This window comes from Homo sapiens, chromosome X (assembly GCF_000001405.40).
Source record: "Homo sapiens chromosome X, GRCh38.p14 Primary Assembly".
Lineage (NCBI taxonomy): Eukaryota > Metazoa > Chordata > Mammalia > Primates > Hominidae > Homo > Homo sapiens.
Genome location: NC_000023.11, coordinates 97,298,513 through 97,318,766, shown reverse-complemented (window position 1 = coordinate 97,318,766; position 20,254 = coordinate 97,298,513). Strand labels below are relative to the sequence as shown.

At 40.5% G+C, this 20,254-nt stretch overlaps 1 protein-coding gene across 2 annotated transcripts in view; it reads right to left on the bottom strand.

Moving 5' to 3' along the window:
- Positions 1-20,254, bottom strand: part of DIAPH2 (diaphanous related formin 2) — a 920,156-nt gene that overhangs the window by 286,231 nt on the left and 613,671 nt on the right. The gene's annotated exons all lie outside the window — the stretch shown is intronic.

Here is a 20,254-nt window from a genome sequence, read left to right as displayed (position 1 = left end):
ATGCCTGTAATCTCACCACTTTGGGAGGCTAAGGCGGGTGGATCACTTGAGGTCAGGGGTTCGAGACCAACCTGGCCAACATGGTGAAACTTTGTCTGTACTAAAAATACAAAAATAGTCAGGCATGGTGGCGGGTGCCTGTAATCCCAGCTACTCAGGAGGCTGAGAATAGCTTGAACCCGGGAGGCAGAGATTGCAGTGAGCCGAGATTATGCCATTGCACTCCAGCCTGGGCAACAAGAGAGAAACTCCATCTCAAAAAAAAAAAAAAAAAAAAAAAAAAAGTAAAGAAAAAAAAAGAAAACTGTAATCAAGAATAGACCAGTGGGCGGCAGGGCGTTGTGGCTCACGCTTGTAATCCCAGCACTTTGAGAGGCCGAGGCTGGTGGATCACGAGGTCAGGAGTTGGAGACCAGCCTGGCCAAGATAGTGAAACTCCGTCTCTACTAAAAATACAAAAATTAGCCGGGTGTGGTGGCAGGTGCCTGTAATCCCAGCTACTCGGGAGGCTGAGGCAGGAGAATCGCTTGAACCTGGGAGGCGGAAGTTGCAGTGAGCCGAGATGGCGCCATTGCACTCTAGCCTGTGCGACAGAGCAAGACTCCATCTCAAAAAACAAACAAACAAAAAAGGATAGACCAGTGGTTGAGACTGGAGAGGGGAAGAGGAAGGGAAGGATGGAGAGAGGCTGGTCAATAGGTACAAAGTTACAATTAGATAGTAAGAATAAATTTTGGTGTTCTATTGCACAGTAGGGTAACTATGTTTAACAGTAAAATATTGTATCTTATATAATTTCTCACTGCAAAGAAATGATAAATGCACAGGTGATGGATACACTAGCTAAACTGGTTGTATCATAATATAGCTATGTATCAAAACATCAGATTGTACCCCATAAATAAATTAAAATGTGTCAATTGAAAAATAATTTAAAAAATCTCTAATCAAGTTACGGTGATTACAATCACGGACAAGGTCAGGATACACTGGCTCCTAAAGTAGAAAGGAATGCAGATAATTACTGTTCCCTTCAGTCACATTCATGCATTTGAAGAGTAGTGGCATTATCACATTCTTTCATGAATGCAAAGTGTAATATTCCACAATTCGATTAATTTCTCTCTGGCATGATTAGTCAAAAACACACTCCTGCAAAATGGCTTATATCTCTAAGACCAATTTCAACATGGTTTGGCGTTAACACTGATTTCTCTCATCAAATCAATGTATGAGATTTATTATCTCAATGATTTAACTTGAATTATCATCAGGTAATCATAAGCAAAAGAGGAATGTCTGTTTACAATCAACTAAAATACTGAATCATCACTTAAAAGAAAGGAAAATGATGTTTCAAGTCTTAATTCTGCCTTCTATTTCCTAGGCAAGAGAAGGCAAGGCATTAAAAAATGTCCTTGCACCGTTAGAATAATGCTTATTTAAAAACATCCTTAAAATGTTGAGTTTCAAACGTTATTTGAGTTTAAGGAAGTTAATCATAAGAACCACAGACAAACAATGGATTTGACTGAAGGACTTACTTTGCAATCAGAAAAGTGGTGATTGGGCTAAAAAAAACAAATTATGACATTGTAACATTTTCAATGTTCACCTGTTTTAGTTTATTTCTTTACAGATTGAACACAGAATGGACTCAGTAATCCTTCTGGTTCAAGCTCAACATAAAGACATTCTTACTTTTCAGAAAATAATAGAAGCATTACAATAGTCATCATGCAATTCATATTCCAAGCAATTTGCTTTCTCATCTTGCCTAGACACCCTGCACTGGTTTCTATTTCCTTTCTGTTTCAATTCTTGCTGTTCCTATTATGGAAGCTAGTGCACATCTAACTTCTTCATGTGGCATGGACCCCCACACATAAACCCATTTACCCCATCTACATGAGACTGTTGCAGATTTTGCTCAAGGAAAATGGAAACCCAGGAGGAAACTAGTCAACTTGTCAAAACATGTTTTTTTTCCTTAATATGTAAATAAAGTCTATCTAAATAGGGCTTGAGGTACAGGAAAAAGAAATGGACTGTCTCCCATCATCAAATTGCTTATGCTGCCTACCCTCTAGTCTACTGATTTCTTTTTTCTTGAGACGGAGTCTCCCTCTATGGCCCGGGATGGAGTGCAGTGGCACAATCTCGGCTCACTGCAACCTCTGCCTCCTGGGTTCAAGCAATTCTACTGCCTCAGCCTCCCGAGTAGCTGGGACTACTGGTGCGCGCCACCAGGCCCGGCTAGTTTTTTTTTTTTTTTTTTTTTGTATTTTTAGTAGAGACGGGGTTTCACCATATTGGTCAGGCTAGTCTCGGACTCCTGACCTCGTGATCCGCCTGCCTCGGCCTCCCAAAGTGTTGGGATTACAGGCCTGAGCCACTGCGCTCGGCTAGTCTACTGATTTCTTTGGCCTTAAACCAGGGGATTTGAAGACAAGAAAGTGAGAAGAGAAAGAACAGAGGAGGAGAAAAACAGAACAGGAAGGATCATCTATGCTTCTTTAAATCAATGTCTTCACGGCATATTTAGGAAATGATATTATTTACATGGCACACTAGGGTAAACGGACAAGGCTGCTCAAGGTTGCTAAGGCAAACCAACCCGCTAGAGGGCACTGGCTACCCCAAGGGCTCAGGAGTTGAACATCTCAACATCGTGAGATCACTATGATGCGATGATCAAGTACAAATATCGATAGATGGCTTAAAGGATCTCAGATATATTTAGGCCAAATTACATAAAGAAACTTGGGCTAAGTTAAAAAATGTAATCATCGGCTTAATAAATATGTGAACCTGCTTTTCTCAAGGTTTTAAAATAATATCTATGATATAAAAAATAGTTTAATAGAACTCACAGTTTTCCAATCTAACAGGAATCCTTGATCAGTCAATGCAATAGGCACTCTACACATCTCTCATTTGATACTCAAAATGAAGATCAAAATTGAGAAACAAGGAAGAGCTTATGGTGATGGATGAGGTAAGCATCATCTAAGAGCAAAACTAAAATTTCAACTCAGATGTTTCTTACTCCAAAGCTCGTGTTCTTTCTATTACAGCTGTGGTTTAAAAAAAAAAAAAATGGTTAAAAGAACACTTTCAAACCCATCCCAACCCAAAACAAACAAACAAAAAGAACACTTTCTTTTCACAGTGCTACACAAAAACCCAATTTATAAAACAGATAAAAGTGGAGCTGCTCTGTGTGAGCATGTGTGTAGAGGAGTGGGGGTAAAGGGGATAAGTTTCCAATCCCATCAGCAACCTCTGATGCATCTTGATGGAAACCCCTTGGGTACCTTGGAGCACACCTTAAAATTCACATCCACTCATTAATCTCCAGTAAAAATGCTTAAAACACAAAAGCATCTCTGTTACGCCATATCATGCCTTATATTACTTGCTTTATTTGTGTACTTGTTTTGTTTTGTTGTTTCAAGAGCCAGGGTCTCACTTGCCAAGGCTAGGGTGCAGTGGCTACTTACAGGCACCATGATCGTTACTGCAGCCCAGATCTCCTGGTCTCAAGCAATCATCATGCCTCAGCTTCCTGAATAGCTGAAACTACAGTTGTGCACCATGGCAACTGACTTGTATACCTGTTTTTCTCTCTTATAGGGTCTTTAAGGGCAGGGAGAAGAAGGCTAAGAGTCTAACAAAAAAGGAGAATGATAAGTAAAACTAAGCATTCAGTCAATGGCCATATATTAAAGGTATGTTTCCATAATAATAGGAGAATATTATTTCTCATCTTCCTTTCCTGTTTTACCATGTTGCCCAGGCTGGTCTGGGGGAGTGAAATGTTAAACATGTGGATCAATTCTTCTTTTAAAAATTGTTCAACTAAAACATTTCTCAAAAACAAAACCAAGCCTGCCTTCCAGCAACCTGGGGCACTATTTATGCTCATACACAACATGGTATCTTGAAAATAGTAGCCTGAACAAACAGCTTTTATTGTTTCTAAATTTAAACAAACTGAGTGATTCATTTAAGTATTTCTCTAAATTCTCTAACACCTTTTCAGTCCAATTCTATTTGCCTCATAAATTCAAACGCAGAAGAAATCAGCCCCTACAGTATAGAAAGATATATATCAAAGAGACACTAGTCAGGCAAAAAGATAAAGTCACAGCAAAGGTATAGACTCTTATCTTTAACTCATTCTAGACAAATACTGTGACCTCTATTGAAAGTACATTATCAGCATTTTTGACAAGTAGTTATCAGTGTTTGCTAATTTCTAAGTTGAATCTAACTCAACACTATAGATTTTCCACAATATTATTTTTTACTGTGATGAACTGGCCTCATACCATTATTATTATTATTTTTTGAGACAGAATCTCACTCTGTCTTCCAGACTGCAGTGCAGTGGCATGATCATAGCACACTGCAGCCTCAACCTTCAGGGCTAAAGTGATCCTCCCTGTCTTAGCCTACCGAGTAGCTGGGACTACAGGTGTGCGCCACCACACCTAGATAATTTTTTTTTTTTTTTTTGTAGAGACAGGGTTTCACTATGTGTCCCAGGCTCGTCTTGAAATCCTGGGCTCAAGTGATCTTCCCACCTCAGCCACTCAAAGTGTTGGGATTACAGGTATGAGCCACCATGCCCAGCCTGGCCTTATATCTTAATACACCTAAAGAAAATACATCGTCAAATGTTTTACTTTCACGTTTATGGATATATACAATATTCCTGACTAGGCCATTCAAAGTAAGTGAGATATAATGTTGTTCAACTTGGGCTTGTGTGTATCTACCTTAATTACTTCCTGAAAGCAGTTTTACAAAACAGTAAAGCCAGGCCGGGCACGGTGGCTCATGCCTGTAATCCTAGCACTTTGGGAAGCCGAGGCGGGTGGATCACTTGAGGTCAGGAGTTCGATACCAGCCTAGCCAACATGGTGAAAACCTGTCTCTACTAAAAATACAAAAAATTAGCCGGGCATGGTGGTGGACTCCTGTAATCCCAGCTACTTGGGAAGCTGAGACAGAAAAATCGCTTGAACCCGGGAGGTGGATGTTGCAGTGAGCCGAGATCACACCACTGCACTCCAGCCGGGGCGAGAGAGGGAGACTCTGTCTCAAAAAAAAACAGTAAAGCCTTACTCTGTTTTGACTCCATGGTTCTATTTTTCACATTTGATCACAGAACATAAAGACAATCTTTCCAAATTGTATGTACCAACATATATTCTAGCTGAATCTTAACTGATTTAGAGTGAGAGGAAGTCATGAAAGAATATAATAAAATGAAGAAAATGAGCTTAGACAATAAAAGTTGAAAGAAGCAGCACGATGACAAAGTTGAAATCACATTTTTCAAACCATGTTATATAAAAGATATAAAGTTATTTTTCTATGAAGATGACCATATTTCTTATAAGAAGATGACCACACAGACCCAGTATCAATCAGTGTAACAGGAAAGCTTGATTATTTTTGCCAGCAATGTGGATGGATCTACAATGAATTGTGCATATTATCCAGTGTTCACTTGTGACCACTAGTATACAGCAACAAAAAAGCTGCCTGAATTTATTATTTTATTTTATTTTGAGACGGAGTCTCACTCTGTCTCCCAGGCTGGAGTGCAGTGGCGCGATCTCGGATCACTGCAAACTCTGCCTCCCGGGTTCACGCCATTCTCCTACCTCAACCTCCCCAGTAGCTGGGACTACAGGCACCCGCCACCACGCCCGGCTAAATTTTTTTTTCTTATATTTTTAGTAGAGACAGGATTTCACCATGTTAGACAGGATGGTCTCGATCTCCTGACCTCGTGATCCGCCCACCTCAGCCTCCCGAAGTGCTGGGATTACAGGTGTGAGCCACCGCGCCCAGCCAAAAGCTGCCTGAATTTAGACTTCGGTAAACTAAAGCTGACTAGCTCAGAAGTGTCCAATTAATAGCCATGGGCTCTCCATTGTCTCAGTTAATGACAACTCTATTCTTACCATGTGCTTAGCTCAAAAGCCTTGGGAATTTTCCTTCACTCCTCTCATATCCCACACATCTAGTGTATAATTTTAGTAAACTTCTATCCATTCTACTTTCAAAAAGTTAGAAAGAACCACTAGAAATTATGGATTCTTGCCGGGTGCACTGGCCGATGCCCGTAATCCCAGCACTTTGGAGGGCTGAGGCGGCAGATCACCTGAGATCAGGAGTTCAAGACCAGCCTGGCCAGCATGGCAAAACCCCGTCTCTACTAAAAATATAAAAATTAGCCGGGCGTGGTGGCAGGCACCTGTAATCCCAGCTACTCGGGAGGCTGAGGCAGGAGAATCTCTTGAACTGGGGAGGAGGAGGTTGCAATGAGCTGAGAACATGACACTGCACTCCAGCCTGAGCAACAGAGCTCCATCTCAAAAAAAAAAAAAAAAAAAAAAAAAAAGGATTCTATTGATCAAAAGTGATCAAATATTGGCAATTTCATATGGTACAAACTGACATTGAAACTAGCATTGCAAAATTGTAACTGAGACAGTGAAAGACATCTGACCTAACCAACTTCATCTTGCTTTTAACCTCCAAGCTGTCCTTGTTCATTCCTGGGCGTAGGCTGAACTAACTTTAGGAGGAACTTAGTTTATAGTTTAAAACAAAGATGATAGGCCGGCATGGTGGCTCACGCCTGTAATCCCAGCACCTTGGGAGGCTGAGGTGGGCGGATCATGAGGTTAGGAGATCGAGACCATCCTGGCTAACATGGTGAAACCCCGCCTCTACTAAAAAACACAAAAAACTAGCCGGGCTTGGTGGCGGGCGCCTGTAGTCCCAGCTACTGGGGAGGCTGAGGCAGGAGAATGGTATGAACCCAGGAGACAGAGCTTGCAGTGAGCCGAGATTGTTCCACTGCACTCCAGCCTAGGCCACAGGCGAGACTCTGTCCTCCCCCACCCAAAAAAAAAAGATGATAACGGCATTTCCCAAGGCAAATTCCCTTCTTTCCTGGAGACTAGACTGCCTTTGTAGGACTAACAAATTAGCCAGGGATTATGGTTTAGGAGTCATGCAGCTGGAGGCTACAAGATTCTGAAACTCCCTAAACTGCTCCTAAGATCAGTGCTTGAGAAATTGTGCAGACCCTGCACTTGATGGATCAGCTGGCATCACCCTGATAGATAAACTGGCTCATCTGATCTTGTGTCCCCGCACCCAGGAACTAACTCAGCACAAGAAGACAGCTTTGACTCCCTATGATTTCATCTCTGACCTAACCAATCAGCACTCCCGGCTCACAGGCTTCCCCCCACCAAGTTGTCCTTAAAAACTCTGATCCCCGAATGCTCAGGGAGACTGATTTGAGTAATAAAACTCTGGTGTACTGCACAGCTGGCTCTGAGTGAATTACTCTTTCTTTATTGCAACTGTCCTATCTTGATAAATCAGCTCTGTCTAGGTAGCTGGCAAGGTGAACCCACTGGGCATTTACATCATATCTAGGTATTCGGCTACTTTTCATCACCTCTACTAATACTAGCCTAGATTACTGCAATAGTCTCCTAGATTATTGCAATTACTTCCTATGGGTCTCCCTGCTTCCCATCTGCCTTGCTTATCAGTCTGTTCTTAACACATTATTCAGGGTGATTCTGTTTGTACCTAACTGAGTGCATGTCTCTCCTCCACTCAAAACCTTTCAATGGCTTCTCATCTTTAAATAATAGCTCAGGTCCTTATTATGACCCACAAGTTTCTTTTTCTAATTTTTTCTTTTTTTTATTTTTTGAGATGGAGTCTCGCTCTGTCGCCCAGGCTGGAGTGCAATGGCGCAATCTCGGCTCACTGCAACCTCCGCCTCCCAGGTTCAAGCAATTCTCTTGCCCCAGCCTCCCAAGTAGCGCGATTACAGGCGCCTGCCACCATGCCCGGCTAATTTTTATATTTTTTGGTAGAGATGGGGTTTCACCATGTTGGCCAGGCTGGTCTCAAACTCCTGACCTCAAGTGATCTGCCCGCATCAGCGTCCCAAAGCGCTGAGATTACAGTCGCGAGCCACCCCACCACACCCGGCAGATCCATAAGTTTCTATATCATTTGGGTGTACAACTCCCTCCACCCCTCACAATTTTTCTTACCTTATCTTCTACGACTCTCCCTCTCATTCATGAGCTTCAGGCAACTGGACTCACTACTTTTACTTTTCCTGGAACACACCAGCTTTTTGCCTCAGGGTCTTTGCATTTGGAATGCTTGGAATGCTCTTTCCCCACATATCTGCATGACTTAACTTTCTTTAGATCCTTATTCAGAACTCACCAAGTCAATAAGGCTTTCCCTCTGTGCTATCTAAAATACGAACATACCACCAAACTCCCTCTTCACTTTTATACCCTATGGCATTTATCGCCTTTGAACATACTTTGCAATGTCTTTATTTCATCTGTTTTTCCTTACTATTACATAAGCTCCAGGAAGGCAGAAATGTTTATCTGTGTACTATGGTATTTCCAGAACCTACAACACTATCTAGCAGATTAGGAGGCACTTAATAAATTTTTGCTGAATGAATGAATGAGTATTGAAAATTAGGGTGATCAGTAATTTAATTCACTTTTTATTCCATTCTTCAAATCCCATTCATGCTGATTCTTTGGTGGAAATTTTGTCGCTTTGCAAATTCAGAGTGAGGAAATCTCATTTGCCTCATGAGTTAATCCAGGAGGGGGCCAGGTAAAGTATAGCAAGGATTTCTTTAAATTTCTCTATGACATTCTTTAGAAATAGAGGAGCTGCCTAAACTTGTCTTTTCTTTTCCTTCCCCCACACCCCTAAAGGTCATGATTGATTGTCCAGTAACTTTCTTGTTATGTCAAGATTAGAACTGGCAGAGAAGAAACAGGTTGGTGACTTCACCATACCCTGGGCCTTAAAACTGTTTCTAGGTTTTCCCATTCAAATGACTCTATTTCTTAAGGACTGAAACAGATCCTTCACAAAGAAGAGATAAAATTTTAGTTGGAATATCTACTATTTTGTATAACTTATATTTAATGTTGTCATCAATGAAAATGACTTAGAACTGACCAGTATCTAAACATAGCACTTTCTTTGTAGATACAGATAAGTTACTGGGAAACATTCTGGCAACGATAAGGAGATTCAGAGAAACACAGTTCTTGAAATGTTATTTATAAAGCATTTTCTATAGCAACACTAGCAAAACAAGCTATTTTAAAAGTGTAACTACAGTTATTTTAGGTTCTTATATGACAAAGTTACCTTACCGCTAAAGCCCATGGAGTATCAGGAAATATTACATATGGGCAGGCACTTCATTATTATTTAAGTCTTGAGAATGCATCAATGAAAATTGGGTATAAAAAATGTAAAATTGGCCGGGCGCGGTGGCTCATGCCTGTAATTCCAGCACTTTGGGAGGCTGAGGTGGGCGGATCACCTGAGGCCAGGAGTTCGAGAGACCAGCCTGGCCAGTATGGTGAAACCCCGTCTCTACTAAAAATATAAAAAATAGCCAGGTGTGGTGGTTCATGCCTGTAATCCCAGCTACTCGGGAGGCTGAGGCAGGAGTCGCTTGAACCCAGGAGGCAGATGTTGCAGTAAGCCAAGATCACGCCACTGCACTTCAGCCTGGATGACACAGCGAGACTCCGTCTCAAAAAAAAAATAAATAAATAAAATTGAGCAAGCCACTGATAAAAGAAAATGTTGATCAAAAATCTGCTAGCAGAGGCTTTTTGTTTTGTTTTGTTTTTTTGAGACGGAGTTTCACTCTTGTTCCCCAGGCTGGAGTGCAATGGCACGATCTCAGCTCACTACAACCTCTGCCTCCCAGGTTCGAGCCATCTCCTGCCTCAGCCTCCCAAGTAGCTGGGGTTACAGGCATGCACCACCACGCCCAGCTAATTTTGAATTTTTAGTAAAGATGGGGTTTCATCCATCCTGGCTAACATGGTGAAACCCCGTCTCTACTAAAAATACAAAAAAATTTGCCGGGCGTGGTGGCAGGTGCCTGTAGTCACAGCTACTTGGGAGGCTGAGGCAGGAGAATGGTGTGAACCCGGGAGGCCGAGCTTGCAGTGAGCCGAGATCATGCCAGTGCACTCCAGCCTGGACGACAGTGCGAGACTCCGTCTCAAAAAAAAAAAAAAAAAAAAAAAAGATGGGGTTTCACCATGTTGGTCAGGCTGGTCTGGAACTCCTGACCTCAGGTGATCTGCCAGCCTCAGCCTCCTAAAAATGCTGGGATTACAGACGTGAGCCACCGCGCCTGGCCTTAGCAGAGGCTTTTTAACACATAAGACTTGTAGGCTGTACAGAAGTGAGGGAAAAGGGAGTATAGCAAGCAAAGTAAAGCGATGGGATTTGAAGATTAGAGCAGCTCTGCCATTTCAAATGCCAGAGACCTTAATAAGCACAGTGTGGGAAGACTTCTGACCTGGAATTGAGTCAAGGTCAATCTGTAAGACAAGAGTAGGTTAAGCAGCAATGAAATACTGTTTCATTTAATTAGGAAGATATGTGGTTTATGCCTAGATCATTCTATTTCTTTCCAACCTTGCTGCAAACAGTATTTTTTTAGTCATTGCTAATATGTATGTGTAACTACTCAGTGTTTAGACAGTAGTGATACTGTTTGGAAATGATTCCTTTCAATATCAAAAACCTATTGAAAATAGATGACAATGTTATAAACTTATAAGATCTGCCTTTCAAACCACCTGAAGCACAAATACTCCCCAAATGCCAGATCTCCAAATGGCAAACATACTCAGTAGAAACAACTAACCTCTAAAGAAGGTTGAGTCATGCCAATCTAATCTATAGTAATGATATCTTTTTCTTTTTCTTTTTTTTTTTTTTTTTTGAGACAGAGTCTTGTTCTTGTTGCCCAGGCTGGAGTGCAATGGCGCAATCTTGTCTCACTGCAACCTCTGCCTCCCAGGTTCAAGTGATTCTCCTGCCTCAGCCTCCCGAGTAGCTGAGATTACAGGCATGCGCCACCACGCCCGGCTAATTTTGTATTTTTAGTAGAGATGGGGTTTCTCCATGTTGGTCAGGCTGGTCTTGAACCCCTGACCTCAGGTGATCCACCCGCCTCAACCTCCCAAAGTGCTGGGATTATAGGAGTGAGCCACCGCACCCAGCCTATGATTTCTTACATCTAAGTATGTGCTAATGAAATTTGTACCACTAATGTTATTACTATTTTATATTGAGACTGAATCTGAAATCGATAAAACCTTAGTAAATATCATGAAAAAATAAAAAGAATTTTTACATAGCTTCAAAATCTCCTCTGGCAAAATCTATTGTCTATAAATCACACTTAACTGTAGTCTTCCTCCAATCACCTGGTTATTCAATCTCATAACAGAAATGAAAGGGTTTCCATTCAGATGAAGTGCAGGAGTGTTTCAGACAAAGGGTACAACTGGTTTGCCAAATGAGACACAAGGATTAAACCTGAAAGGCAGGTGCATGCTTCAAGCTTTTGCATAAATGCTCATTTCATTTTTTCCCATACAGAGTCAGCTATGACTATTTCTACTTTATAGGAATAAACTTTTAGTTTCACAAGGCAAGGGTTTTGTAACTGGCAAGATCATCCTGGTGATTCAACAGTGGCTTTTTATTCAAGTCAGCAAGCAGCCTTTCAGTGGGGTTCTACTCAAAAACCTTATTTATACATATAATAAGAGCTTCTTCCTTAGGTACTCAAGACCCAGAGGGGTCTGGTCTCAATAGACATTTCTGTCTTATCTTAAACTGCCCCATTCACAATTCATTATCTATCCAATAATCCAATTAAATGTAACAATTCGGTGCCCCTTACCTTTCAGAGTTTCCCACTTCTCAGCCTTTGTTAACTGTCTCTTTAGTGTGGAAAGTCTTTTTTTCTTATCTCTATTCCTACTTCAGATTCAAAGCTTAAAGCTAGTTCCTTTAAGGTAAGAGCACAAAGTTCCAAAGCAAATGTTTATCTGTTACAAGTGCTTCCATAAGGCTAATTTGGATAAGTAAGAACAAATACTCACGAGGAAATGAATTTGTTACTGTGGCCCTCCAAAAACAGGGCAGTATCATAACCACCCAGATACAAAGAAATTAGAGAGTGTATTGGCATGTGGAGAAGAAGGAAAATGATAAACGGATTGCAAGGAAATGGAAAACGAGATGTTGTTCCAGGATACCTGGCAGTATTGGTAATGCTGAATTTGGTTCAGAGATAAGGAAGGCTCAGAATTTGTAAATATCCCATTAAATGAGAACGTATATAGATTGCAGAAATTCTTCCTGAATGGTAATGATAGGTCTGTATGAAAAAGAGCAGTGATACAGCAAGATTTGAACATTCCAGATCTGGTGACAGCTTACAGAAAGGGGCCAGGAAGGTTATCCCTACATACCACAAACCCTCCCCACAACCTCACCACCACCAATGGCCCTGCCCCCTGAAGCTACTCTGGGGGCCAAAGAGAGTTATGCTGAATTCTGCTTAATGTACTTCTGCCCTCACCATCTACAACGTAGTATATCCTTGGCTAATTCAAACAGATCCTTTTCTAACCTAAGAAGGAGAGATGCGGGGAGGCAAAAAAGGAGAGAGGAAATGATGGGTTTGGATTTGCTGCCAATCTGGATCTGATCAGAAATGCCTTTAATGACACTTTGCTAGAGGACTGTAAATTAATTAAACCAGATGTACGGAAGGTTTTTTTTTTTTCTTTATACTTTCTATTCAATCATGTTCAATTTATTTTACAGGCAAACCTTTTTCTGGGGCCAGACATAAAATTTAAAATGCCATTAGGTATGAGGTTGTTAAAAGCAGCTCTAGGTGAGAAAAACACTATTCAGCACAACCAGCTGAACTGCCCTAGTGACAGTTCCCTACCTTCTTGCCTCCCATTTCCCATTCTTTCTTTCTTTCTTTTTTTTTTTTTTTTTGGAGAAGGAGTCTCGCTCTGTCGCCCAGGCTGGAGTGCAATGGCATGATCCTGGCTCACTGCAACCTCCACTTCACAGGTTCAAGTGATTCTCCCTGCCTCAGCCTCCCAAGTAGCTGGGATTACAGGCACGCACCACCACGTCCAGCTAATTTTTGTCTTTTTTTAAGTAGAGATGAGGTTTCACCATGTTGTCCAGGTTGGTCTCGAACTCCTGACCTCAGGTAATCTGCCTGCCTCGGCCTCCCAAAGTGCTGGGATTACAGGCATGAGCCACCGCGCCTAGCCAATTTTGTTGTTATTGTTGTTTTTTGTTTGTTTGTTTGTTTTTTGAGACGGAGTTTCTCTCTTCTTGCCCAGGCTGGAGTGCAATGGTGCAATCTTTTCTCACTGCAATCTCTGCCTCCTGGGTTCAAGTGATTCTCCTATCTCAGCTTCCTAAGTAGCTGGGATTACAGGCGCCCGCCACCACGCCCAGCTAATTTTTGTGTATTTAGTGGAGACAGAGTTTCACCATGTTGACCAGGCTGGTCTTTAATTCCTGACCTCAGGTGATCCACCTGCCTCGGCCTCCCAGAGTGATGGGATTACAGGCATGAGCCACCGCGCCCAACCTAGCCCCTCAATCTTTGGCTATTTTCTCGGTCTGAGATTTCTTAGCTCCTACTCTTGGCTATGGCAGTTAGACACTGCCTCAGCTCAGCTTAGGACAGATGGTGCCTCTTGACTTTCAATGGTCTCCTGCCATGACTCTTCGACTATGGTGAATCTGACTTTCTCCTACTTCCTACATAATCATTTTCACCTCTGCCCAGTCCTTTATTTGTTCTTCTATCAAGGTGTGCTTCAGCCACATTGTATTGCCTACTGTGCTATCTCTCCTTGAAAGTGTGTATACTACCTAAGAACAAATGCAAAATAAATATAACTATAGGTCCTTTCTTATATTGAAACAACAAAATACACTAATCGATATATTAAAATATATAATCCAACTCTGTTGGTAGCAAAATACTCACTTTACAACATTGCAATGACTATATCAGCATACAGAATGCAATTTCTGAAAAGATAGCTTCATGTCAGTGTTTATATGCAACAGCATCCTTTATTAAAAAGGAAACAGCTATAATAAACACAAATCATAGTGACAGCAGGAATCATGCTATCAACAAACCCATCAAAATGGAATCAAACATCGTGAGATGAACACCATCACAGAGATATGTACAAGTACTTTTCCCATATGGGATTCTCTGCTACTTCATTTTGAAACTAAATAACTAGGGCAACTGTTTCTAGCAATATATCTATCCGGGCCTTTTTCAGTGTTGTTCTGTTCTCAGTAATGGTTCACAGAGAGTTTTATGTTGTAACATGAGGTTCTTTCATGATCACAGCTTCACTGCAGTCCCATGGTTTTAATACTGCTGTTATAATTATTCAAGATCGACCACTGTGATTTCTTCTCAGATCAACTATTACTGTTGTTAAACACCTTTTGAATGTTTTAAGTAACTCACAGCAAATGATACGTTTACAAACTGACAATGCTTGGACAGTGTTTATGGTATGTTGTTATAACTGGATGACATGATCTGAAAACCACATCCTTACTAATTAACAATACTCAGGCTTGCACTTATGCACAGCTTCATAATGTTCTGAAGTCCTGGGTTTGATATAATCCATACTGTTTATTTATATATTAGCTAAAATTAGTCTATTTCCCACATTCAACATACAGGGTGTTATAGCCAATGCATTTAAAAAATAATCCTATTTGATTTTTTTCTCCCCCTGAATATTTCAATGGGGATTTCCTATAATCAGGAAGCTTTGCCAACAAGGTCTGTAGGCATGTTACAAACAACATTTTAACAATTTTGTCCTGTGTCCATTTTACCCATGCCTTTTGCATACAAGAACAAATAGCTAGACCACCTTTTCCCAAACTGTGTGCCATACTTGAGATGTTAAAAAGTATTACACACACACACACACCCCATGGCTAAATAAGTTAGAGAAATGTTTTATAGTATAGCCCCTTATAGATTTACAATAAAAATAGCATATTAAAAGTCATGAGAAGTTCTGCAGAAAATAGATCTGTTTGTCTTTGTTTAACCCAGCACATTCACAACTTATTTGCCACAGATGATCCCCTTGACTACCTCCATACTTTTTCTTTCCCTTTTTTAACATTATTGTAACATCCTGTAGAACAATATTCTGTAGAATACAGTTTGGGAGCACTAAACTCAATAAATAAATAATACCTCCTATGCATAATTTAACATAATTTCAACATCTCAAAACAACAACATATCATAACCTTCTTTCTTGAGAAAGCTAGTTTATCAAGGCTCGTGTGAAACAATTCCTGAATAGTACAGGACTAAGAAACAGAGGAAAACACTGGGAATTTGTAACACTCTCTGTATGTCTTACAATATACACAAACTATAGTTGGGTGTCACCTGTTTGTAGCAAAAACAAGATGATCTGTTGTTCCAGTATCAGGATGGAATTGAAAAACAAAAACAATTGGGAAGCAGACCATAATCCATTGGATGCTAAAACAAATTATTTCTCTTTACTGACCAAAGACACCAAGTAACCCAAATTCAAACCAATAAGGGAATAGACCTTTTATTCATATAAGTAAAAGAAATGAAAAGTAAAAGAAAAGAAAAAGTAAAAGAAATGCAAATCCATAATGAAAAAGTTTAGTCAAGCATGAAGAGTGTCAAAAGCACCAAAACAAAATTGGGATCTTAATTAAGCAAGTTTTCCTCACATCATTTGCTTATGCAAGGTATAGGAGATATCTTTTGTTTTGGAGACAGAGTCTCACTCTATCCCCTAGGCTGGAGTGCAGTGGCGCGATCTCGGCTCACTGCAACCTCCGCCTCCTGGGTTCAAGCGATTCTCATGCCTCAGCCACCCAAGTAGCTGTGACTATAGGCGCACGACACCGCGCCCGGCTAATTTTTGTATTTTTGGTAGAGACGGGTTTCACCATGTTGGCCAGGCTGGTCTTGAACTCCTGACCTCAGATGATCTGCCTGCCTCAGTCTCCCAAAGTGCTGGGATGACTTTGGGACATGAGCCACCATGCCCAGCCAGAATCATTTTTAATAGATTGTTTTATAGCAAGCTTATCATCAGAAATCAGAGCTGTACCTAAAGGATATATAAGAGAGTTTTTTCTCACCCAGTTACACTGCCTCCTCAGAGGATGAGTGTCCAATACTATTTTATTTTATTTTATTTTTTAATTTTTATTTTTTGGAGATAGAGTTTTGCTCTTGCTGCCCAGGCTGGAGTGCAATGGCACAGTCTCATCTCACTGCAACCTCTGCCTCCCAAGTTCAAGCAATTCTCCTGCCTCAGCCTCCTGGGTAGCTAGGATTACAGGCATGCACCACCACACCCGGCTAATTTTTTGTATTTTTAAGTAGAGACAGGGTTTCACCATATTGGCCAGGTTGGTCTTGAGCTCCTGCCCTCAGGTGATCCGCCCACCTCGGCCTCCCAAAGTGCTGGGATTACAGGTGTGAGCCACCATGCCTGGCTGAGTGTCCAATACTTTTTTTTTTTTTTTTTTTTTTGAGATGGAGTCTTGCTCTATCGTCAGGCTGGAGTGCAGTGGTGCGATCTCAGCTCACTGCAACCTCTGCCTCCCGGGTTCAAGTGATTCTCCTGCTTCAACCTCCTGAATAGCTGGGACTACAGGCACGCACCACCATGCCTAGCTAATTTTTGTATTTTTAGTAGAGATGGGGTTTCACCATGTTGACCAGGATGTTCTCGATCTCTTGACCTTGTGATCTGCCCGCCTCGGCCTCCCAAAGTGCTGGGATTACAGGCGTGAGCCACTGTGCTCGGCCATATCCAATACTTTTATAAAAGGTTTAATAAGTGTCTAACTTATTGACTGGGGTATACAGTTCTATCGTCCTTTGTTGAGTTCTATTGATCTTAAAAAAACAGATAAGCTAATGCTATGCTACTCAAACGCCTGATCTACTATGAGATAAGGAGCTGGCGCAAGAATGTAAATCAGCTGTCAATGCATGGGGACTAGGTAATTCATGGCTGGCACTGGTCGTATCAGCTATAGGTAATGAATAATTTTTCAGAAAATACACTGAATCCTTCTCTTTTAATTCATCATTTTGGTCCCACAAATCTCTGGATTTGAAATTTTGTTTAAGACTTAAAAACATCTCAACAAAAACTTTAAAGTGCCCTTAATTTTGCTAACATCTTTGTGCTTATTCTCTGAAAGCTGACCATGTAAAAGTGAGTCAGAGGTGGGAAGTAAATTATCAAGAACAATCTGGCACTCCTTCACATGTCTCAGCACCTTGCTACAAGCCATTTTGAATACTTCGCTTTATTTGTTGTTATAAACAAACAGTTTATAACCTAAGATATGTTATATAAATTAAGGTACCATAGATAAAAAACATTTGTACTTAATGTATCATATGTAACAAATATTTGGTTTAAATGTTTAAACTCATCATAGAGGGCATGACTCATGTTTAACTGTACATATACATCTTAGCTTGCTGAACACAATGAGGACATCAAACGTATACATCCAATTTATACGAAAACAACTCATCCAATTACTTAAATTTTCTTTTTTTTTTTTTTTTTTTTTGAGACGGAGTCTCGCTCTGTGGCCTACGCTGGAGTGCAGTGGCGCGATGTCGATCTCCTGACTTTGTAATCCGCCCACCTCGGCCTCCCAAAGTGCTGGGATTACAGGCGTGAGCCACTGCGCCCGGCCAATTACTTAAATTTTCACAATTGTTATGAATAACTATGGAGACATTCTTCTTCTTCTTTTTTTTTTTTTTTTTTTTTTTTTTTTTTTTTTAAGACGGAGTCTTGCTCTGTGGCCCAGGCTGGAGTGCAGTGGCGTGATCTCGGCTCACAGCAACCTCCGCCTCCCGGGTTCACGCCATTCTCCTGCCTCAGCCTCCCAAGTAGCTGGGACTACAGGCGCCCGCCACCATGCCCGGCTAATTTTTTGTATTTTTAGTAGAGACGGGGTTTCACCGTGTTAGCCAGGATGGTCTCAATCTCCTGACCTTGTGATCCGCCCGCCTCGGCCTCCCAAAGTGCTGGGATTACAGGCGTGAGCCACCGCGCCCGGCCGGAGACATTCTTCTTGTTTTTTTTTTTTTTTTTAAATAAGCTTTTTAAAAAAATTACTAGTAGAGTTACAGTTAGTCACTTTGGACTTGGAAAGGTAAAAGTCTTAGGTCCTGATAAAGTTGGAAAGCGTCACTGAATTGTTCCATCTATATATAACTACAAATAGTTACTATAGGCATGTATTTCACTATCAATCATATGCACTCTCTACCAAAATATGAAAAAGAAAATGTTATTTCTTTTTCCTCACTGATAACAAAATATATGAGACATGACATCTTTAATTTATTCTCACAAGAGGTCCAGGGACAGTCAAAGTTTGTAAGGCTTGTAGGATATGATGTCTTATTCACATAGAGAGTTACGTAGTTTAGGAAGAACAATGTACAACGTATTCCATGAATTGCTACAGGAAAAGTCTGTCTTTTTTATGTCTTTCATGTTTCAGAAAACCTCCAAAACAAACTCATATGTAAGTTCCTAAGAATAGCAAAATATGATTTCTCTACAAACAGCATAGAATTGCAAATGACCTATTCAACATTAATCCAATGTTTGTCAGTCTTACAACGCACAACTGGGAATAGAATTCTTGTTACATCATTTATATCTATAATCATGCTTTCTTGTTATATTACCAAGCATAGTTCTCAAGCTTCTATTATTCTAAAAGAAAGGGGTGCAATAAACAAATATCAGCTAGGATTTAGACAAAGAGAAAATTGTCATGGATTTTCAACTGGAGTACAATTTAGTCTTGATATTTGATTTTGAATGCATTTTAAATATATGACATATAGAATAAATTAACTATAAATGGCATTTATTATGCAGATTCTATGAAAGAGCCTTGATTTAAATTTCAAAAGCCTGTTTACTTTAGTCATATACATTTCATCCAATGTATAATTTTCATTTTTTTATTGAAATACAAAAATATTTTGCTTTAGACTGACATTTGGCGCTATTTTTATAATATCCATCCTGATGTCAGGTTGTTAAAATAAAAAGAACACTGGAATAACTTTATATCAGATGTCTGAGGTTCAAGATCTTCTTTGGTCACTAACAAATGGTATGACCTTGGGCAAATCATCTGAATCTCGCAGTATCTCAAAAATGAGGGACATTGCACCCAGTGCTAAAAGTTGAATCTATGATTGAGGTCTTCCTATTTTTCCATTAATGCATTATTACAAGATAAATTTCAAGCTATGTAGTCTGTAACAAAGAATCCTCTGACTTTTCCATCTAGCATTTTCTACCAAGCACTCTCTAAAATGAAACATCTTATCCATAGGGGTTGATGGTAAACGTCACTGGGCAATTCATCATTTTTAAATCTGAATTGTTATGTTTTTGGGTATATTTAGTTCAAGCATAATTTAGTTCAAGGCCTTACCAATAACCATTATTATTACTATTTAGAGGATACCATGTGCTTTATACTATGCTGTACTCTTTATGTCTTTGTTTCATTTAGTCCTCACAGCTAGTTCCTCTTATTTTCCCTCTTTATAGATCATTCCCTGCTTGTCTTAAAAGTAATGAAATGACTGCTCAATTGGCCTGGAAAGATTTTTTAAAGTTTATTACACTCAATTAAGTTCCTTTCCTTTTCTATTCTGCCTCAAAAACGTGGTAAACAGCTCAAGGGAGGCAGCCAGCAAATTAACATTCTTCCTGGTTTGTGTAGCACTGATAAACTCACACAGGTAAGAAAAGGACTAAGAGGCTGGGCACGGTGGCTCACGCCTGTAATCCCAGCACTTTGGGAGGCGGAGGCGGGCGGATCACGAGGTCAGTAGATCGAGACGATTCAGGCTGACACGGTGAAACCCCGTCTCTACTAAAAAATACAAAAAAAAATTAGCTGGGCGTGGTGGTGGACACCTGTAGTCCCAGCTACTTGGGAGGCTGGGGTAGGAGAAAGGCGTGAACCCGGGAGGCGGAGCTTGCAGTGAGCCAAGATCGCGCCACTACACCCCAGCCTGGGTAACACAGTGAGACTCCGTTTCAATAAAAAAAAAAAAAAAAAAAGGACTAAGAGTCCCTTAATGGTAAATGTGAAAAAAACACATATATAAAATCTGTAACTGCATAGATGATTTAGTAACAAATATATGAAGAGCTGCCTA